Here is a 7,080-nt window from a genome sequence, read left to right on the forward strand (position 1 = left end):
TCGGGTAGTCCACAATATGCATTGTTCAAGTCTTTACAGTAAATCATATGTTAACACCAAAGTAAAATTTCATTGTAAAAGCAAGACTAAGAAAATAAAAGTTTAGCAACAGTTATAAAGTTCCAAATAATTTTAATGTAACTTTTAAGTTTGAAGGGGAGCGTAACTATTTACTGATGGAACATTCCAAACTGCATCGCCCCAGGGCTGAGAGGCAGCGCCATTACCTATTGTAGTTTTCTTCCGTCTGTCTCTCACTGTCTAGATTTTGATTTCAGATTTGTCACTTTCTCTTCCAGAGCAGTACACTTTTTTGACAGTAGAGGGCACTTTGAATTTAGAGAAAGCTCGAGAAATCTCTTCCTGAATCTTCATTCAGAGAGCTTTTGTTTGACTATAAAGAAATAAAATACAATTTTAGTCTACATTTTAAATGATGCATATTTTTAAACTATGTGATGCAAAAGTTTGTTTCTTTTATATGAATCAGTTTTTCATTTTGTTATTTTATAAAAATACTGTAATATGAATTTCATGCAATATTGCTGTATCTAGAAAAGATTAATGATTTAATAATATAACAAATTATGATCAACTCATGAGTCAATAAATCTTTGATTTTTCTCTAATGAAAAGAGACAATAAGGGATAAAACCCTATGTATACATTAAGTGAAACCTCAAAAAAACCACCAAAATCCTAAAATCAAAGAATAAAAATATAAAATATCTAAATGAAATCAGACACAAAAATTATATTAACCCAACTCACCACAGATATATAAATGCTTTCTTCTTCTTCTTTTATTGAAAAAATATTCTTAATGAAATATAAATTTGTATTTAATCTTATATATCATTTTATAAAAATTCCTTAATAGTACATTGGAAAAAACATTACAATGATCTATCTGACAATCAATTCACTTGTCTTTAAGAAATTTTTTTCAAATTTTTATAAAATGCTTCAAAGTGTTGCTGAAATTTATGTAAAATAATTTATCTAAATGTAGTATAATTGTTTTTCTAATATAAATTAATAACTTGATCACATTTATTAATGTGACTATACAATCTTACTTGTAAATATTCCACTCCATTTCAAATAATCAAAATATAAAATTAATGCATTTTGAAATTTCAAAATAAACTGTTACTTCTTTAATATTCTTTTGTTACCACATCAAATAATTACCTCTTCAAATTTAAGGCACTAAGTTCTTTAACATTAAAAAAAAAAAGTGTTTCCCCATTTAATTGAAACCAGTTACCCTAAGTGTACAAACTGAAAATTTGAAGTTTAACTTATTTGTTTGGTCCAACCAAAAATGCATCTACATAAGGATCATTGTGAGTCTAGTAGTTTCTGGCCTATGGAGAAACCCCCAGTTTTGCCTTTAAAGAGTTTATACTTAAAAACAGAAGAGGAAAAACATAAATCAATTTAATTTTCCAGCAAGTGAATAATGTGCCTAAAATCCTCGTGAAAAGCCCAAGTACATAAAGAAATACATAATTTAATGGGAGAGCTAAAGTTAACGTATATGAAATATTATAAGCTTTTGGATAGAATTTAGCAATCATTATAAGATAACCTTACTGAAGGTAAACAAGATGGCTCTAAATGCCAAAAAAAAGTACAATCAGTTTTGCCTAAGTATTTAATAGAAAGAAATCTACACTTTTAAGAAAGGTTTGTTGATATTTGCTTATCTAAATAAGGAAAATAAAGTTGAATGCTTCCACTCACCCTAACTTTCAAAAATATGAGAAAAAATAATATAAAGATGTATGTCTCACATATGACCTTGCCCTGTGTAATTTTCATAAGTGAAAAGCAAATAAACAGCAATTGTCACTATTCTAAACACACAGCTGCGTTCCATAATATTTATCCTTACTCCTTCCCTCATTTATTATTGCCGGTAAATTATGTATTTGTCACTAACACTAGCTGAATAGATTTGAAACAGTAAGTGTAACAGGCTCAAATGGACAGTGCCTATTATCTTTTCCCTTTTCTCTCCTGCCCTTTTATGGCCTATAACTTCATTCAATCTGTAGCTACATTTATGTTCCTTTTACAACAAAAAGGGTCATAATGCTGTCTCTGATAATACTGAAATTGCCTAATTTGTTCGTCTTCTTTCAACGCCTTGGAAATGGTCACCCTCTCCAGTTATGCCTGGGTTTGTCCCCATCAACTTTGAAAATTAAGGTCCTGTTTAGTCACTGGCAATCGCACCACCAAAACGCCTTCGGGCATTTTGTTCAGCCAACAGGGTGATAGAGGCCGAAGAGGCCCAGGTCTGGCTGGCTCAGGAAACGCACTCCTGAAGCCGCAGGCCCACCTACTACTACTAGAACAACCCCGGGTGTCATTCGCGTGCCTCTCGGTGCGGTGGGGGCGGACAGTTGCGCCAATCCCCGAAGCAAGGGAGGGAGCAGCGGGTCAGCTGACGCTGAGAAGGCGCGAGTGAAGGAATGAGAAGAATTTGCTTGCTCAGAAGATGGGAGCGATAGGGACTCCCTACTCTGACTCCTGGCGCGGACAGGCGTAGGGAAGAAGTCGAGCCTCCCCACAGCTGTTGCCACTCGGGCTGTCGCCGCGGCGGCCGCTGTTGGCTGCCGCGCCGCTGGGACTGAGATGACTGTGGCTGGGCCGGCCACGGCAGCTGCTTCTGCCTTGACTGCTGCCCCTGACCCTTCTGCTGTTTCTTCCTTGATTTTAGCATCAGCTTTTTCTTCTTCTTCTTTTTTCCCCACCCCGGCAGCACCTCTTGTAAAAAGCAGAAATAGCCTCTACATTTGCCAGAGAGCGTGGGTGCAGGGAGGGGAGGCTAAGGTGGAGTCGTTAGGGTCTCTAACGAGGCTTGGTTCCTGGGGCCCCTCCTGTCTTTTCTCCCGCTCCCGTTAGCATTTTCCTTCCTGCGGTAGCAATGCTTTGTCAGCCTCGTGCTGGGTAGAACTCCCGCGTAGTCTCCTCCTCCTTTCCCACTTGCAAGGAGGCTTCACCCCCTCATCCCCTCCAACGAGGAGAACAGTATCAAAGGTATAAAAGGGAAATAAATGCTCCAAGATAACTGTATATTTTGCCACACAAATTTGAACTGGGTTTCGCGTAATAGAAAACAGATCTTTTCAAGTCCTGGGACAATAAAATAAAATTCAAACGGATGGATATGGCGGGTTGGAGAACAATCAACAGCTAATTTGGAAGAGCACTTCTTGAGGATTTTCCTGACCTGCCCTTGCATGTGACTTCCCTTTTCTAAGATCCTCTTCCCCTTTCAAGGCTAAAAGCTGGGTATGATTCAGCTCATAAAAATATGTCACAGCAATTGGAATTTACCCTTTGACCTTCTACTCCCTCACTGCCACCTCCTCTACACACACGCACACACACAGTCTGCAGTTCACTAACTAGCTCTATTTTCACTAAACAGATGGCCGCGTTGCTGATGAAAACTGCCTTTTTGTACAAGATAAAACTTCTAAAAATCTTTATGATAGGACCTATTTACAAAAAGAGCCGAAAGCCACATTTTTGGTGATGCATATGTGAATTCTGAGATAGTTTGATAAATAAACAAAGCGATAAATATATTTTATTTACATAGGCACAAAAAGAAAACTATCAGTAAATAGTCATCTTCCTTTAACACCATTCTTCTTTCTGAAATTTGTTTTTGTGGACCAGTTATGAATGATCATATTCAGTATTTAACATTAAGGAGCATATTATTTCAGGGATCCCAGTGGCTAGATTTAAAACATGCAAGAAAGGGGCAGAAAGCTGAGCCTAAAATGTATGAGGAGTGTTTTCTAGTTTTTCTAAAAGCCTGTTCACCTTTCCAAATAATTTTTCCTTGCCTTTGTGCGGTGAAAGCCCCATTACCAGCTATGAAAAAAATAGTGCTAAGTGTTTTGTACAATTTCTTGTGAGTGCGAAGCTCAAAAAGCCGAGAAAATGGGCAAAACACTGAATCAGGCCACAAGGGCCAGTTCAAATGCACAGAGAGACATTTTTACTGCATTATTTGAACTATTACTAAATAAAATGCTTTCTTCCTTGGAGCTTAGCTAAGTACTAATTTTCCAAAACATGAATACGACTTCTGGTGAAAAGTTACAAATAATTTAAATGCCTGACTACAATATTGTGCCCTCTCGAATTAACAGTGTTCCCTTGGCCCTTCCCTACATACTGAAAATAGTGCAGGCCCTCAAATCACATTTGAAAAACTTAAAATGTCCAGGAAGTTTTTGAATCCAGAAGTTTGAGAACATCATGGACAAATTTAAACACAGTTTTCTCCATGAATATGGTGACTAGAAATGATGAATTGAAACCGTTTCTGGCAATTCATTACCAGATGCCTAAGAAATGACTAACTGTCACATTAAAAAAGAAATTGACAGCCAGGAATTAAGTCATTTTTAACACTAATATGATTGTGATTTTTTAAGACAATTATTTCTCCCCTCTATGTTTGAACGTGCTGATAATACTGACATAGTCAAATTCAGAGCAAAGAACATATAATAAAAATAACAATATATAAAGCATAAGAGAAGGTGTTTTCTGAGCTCGTACCATTTTCTCCATATCTAGAGAAAAAACAAGTTTCCTTCAGCAATTAACATTTGCTAATAATATTTTTATTTGGCAAAGCATAGAAGGTGACCATTTAACAATATCCATTCAGTCTTTAGGTAACAACAGTTTCTCTCTGTTGTTTCTTTACAATGATCAAATTTCTTTGAGTTTCTTCTTTTTTATACTTTCACTTTTGTTTAAAATTAATGGAGCTAAAAACTTACAGATAAATTCTGCAAATATACCTAGATACTCTTTATCATTGTAAATAGCTTAGTGGTGATCTGCCATTTTTCATGATAACTGGGCACCAACTGCTGGTTAGAAATATTTTTCATGGAATTCTTTGTACTTTAAATAAACTACTACTTCAAGATCTGCCATGTGTCCCTCATTCATCTTTAGGGCACAAAGTTACATGTAACTTTTTGTGAGCTTTGATTTTGAAATATTTGTCTCATAGGTGCAATCTCTAGCAATCTTTTAACTCAGTGCAAGTTTATTAATGACCTTCAGCAAGTTAAGGCAGAAATGTGTATTTTAAAGGTTTATTTTATGATTCATCTTATGCAAAAAAAAATTTTGAAAAATTGAATCTACATTTATTTTCTGCTCTTTTGACCCAGTATTAAAAAGTCTCCATGTGCATTTCACATAATGAACATCACAGAAGGGGAAAAATTGTTGTTTCCTTTGGCATTTCTCATCTGAGGTGGTAGAAAAATATGCATCTGCTTTTCCCGTGGAGAGGGAGATAATATAATAACCTTCTGATTATATACATAAGCAAAAACTGATCAGTTTCTCTTGTGGTTCATTTTTTAAGGGCAAGTTCCAGTTGGATTGTGCTAATGCACATATTCATGAATCTCTCCAAACAGGATTCACTGCTCTCCAGGGAACCCTTGAAGTATGCATCATTGTTTCAATGAAGTATCTTCATTATAAAACATAGAGCCTATAAAAGGTGAATACCATTTGCCACTGCTTAATATAATCGCTGGTCTGACTTTCTTCCGCTATATTTTTTTCCTCCCTTGCTTCCTTTCTTTAATCCTTTCTTCCCTCTTTCATTATTTCCTTTTATGTTTTCTTTCTCTTTCTTGTAACAAATAGAAAAAATGACAAAGAATCATTAGAAATATTAAAAATTAGATAAAATAAGGAAATGCTTTTGTTTTCAAAATCAAACTTAATTTCTTTCGAAATGTTATATAGATGGGGTATGAAATTTAACTAACCCCCCCCCCAAATCCTTATATTTGTGCAAATGTTTTATTTGAAACGAAGGAGCTTATGGAAATTTTTAGTCTCTGCATATGCATAAGTTTTTTGTGTCAAAAAAGTGAGGCCAAAGGTGAAAGGTATAGTAAGTAGGTAAACATTTTTAAGACAGGCAATGAAAGGTACTATAGTCACAACAATGTGATGAAAACAGGCACACAAATTTTTCATCTCATTGGGATTATTGCAAACGGAACAACATCTTGAACTAGTCAACCTTTTATTTATGTATGTTTGCGCCAGATATATATCCTAACATTTCTCCTTTTCTTCTCTTTAGATTCCTTCCAGACAACCTGAGATTTAGGGAGTTCCCCTAATGTGCATGTTACAAAGAGGCCTTTATTAGAGAGGACATGAATGGAGTTCTGAGAAAGACTACAAAAGCCCGACACTGCAATTGGGTATAATGGGGTGCTTTATAGGGAAGGAACACTGTCTTTTGGGTATGAAGGACAGTTTAATACAACATCTATTGCAAGGAAACAAAGGAGTTATGTAGCTCACAAATTAGGGTATTCACATCTAGATATACTAGTGATGGAGTATAGAGAACTTGGAATTCAGTGTAAAATGATCTTGTCATCCAACATAGTACTCAGTGGAATGTGGCATTCCTTGGATGTAAGTTGTGTAGTCATCAAAATAGATTGTACAAATCACAAATAACTGTCACTTTGTGACTCTATAGCAATTAGCAACCAAAGATAGTAATTCTTAGTGGCACTAAAAATAAGATGAGACATCTATGATTAAGCAGGAAGTGAAAAATGCAATTCAAGACACTATATATTCCGATTTTCTTAAGTCTCTCACAGAAAATTAATAGAGGATAATATTTTTAAGAGGAATAAGGGGCATAGCACATACAACATGGAGCCAGTGATTTATTGTTGAAGTTTAAGTGATCACTTCGGACAGTCAAATCTCAAATCTTTACTGTCTGACATGCCATGAAGTGGTGGAGGGAGTGGAAATTGAACAAAGATTCAAGAACACAGCAGCATGCTATAGGAACTCTTTATCTAGTGGACAAGCCAGTAGGCAAACTATAGTAATATTCTCCCTCCTTGCTATTGAAATTAGCTAGTTCTATGTTGCTAAATCGACTGAATTATGTTCCATCCTTGATTTACTGTGGTGGTTGCTAACACTTGATACTGTTGACCACACACTCTCATTCCTTGGCTTTCCTAC

General features: G+C 35.6%; 3 annotated features.

Annotated features, from left to right (window-relative positions):
• Window positions 2,120-2,719: an enhancer, noted in NCBI's record as "H3K27ac-H3K4me1 hESC enhancer chr2:164204489-164205088 (GRCh37/hg19 assembly coordinates)". NCBI's record gives its function as "activates a minimal SCP1, AML or CMV promoter by ChIP-STARR-seq in naive H9 embryonic stem cells {active_cell/tissue: H9 hESC(naive)}" and the evidence as "EXISTENCE:reporter gene assay evidence [ECO:0000049][PMID:30033119]".
• Window positions 3,212-3,381: an enhancer, noted in NCBI's record as "experimental_55575 CRE fragment used in MPRA reporter constructs". NCBI's record gives its function as "activates a minimal promoter by MPRAs in K562 erythroleukemia cells, with activity observed for both the introgressed and non-introgressed 2:164205666 variant alleles {active_cell/tissue: K562}" and the evidence as "EXISTENCE:reporter gene assay evidence [ECO:0000049][PMID:34662402]".
• Window positions 6,590-6,759: an enhancer, noted in NCBI's record as "experimental_55577 CRE fragment used in MPRA reporter constructs". NCBI's record gives its function as "activates a minimal promoter by MPRAs in K562 erythroleukemia cells, with activity observed for the introgressed 2:164209044 variant allele {active_cell/tissue: K562}" and the evidence as "EXISTENCE:reporter gene assay evidence [ECO:0000049][PMID:34662402]".

This window comes from Homo sapiens, chromosome 2 (assembly GCF_000001405.40).
Source record: "Homo sapiens chromosome 2, GRCh38.p14 Primary Assembly".
In the NCBI taxonomy this organism is placed as follows: domain Eukaryota; kingdom Metazoa; phylum Chordata; class Mammalia; order Primates; family Hominidae; genus Homo; species Homo sapiens.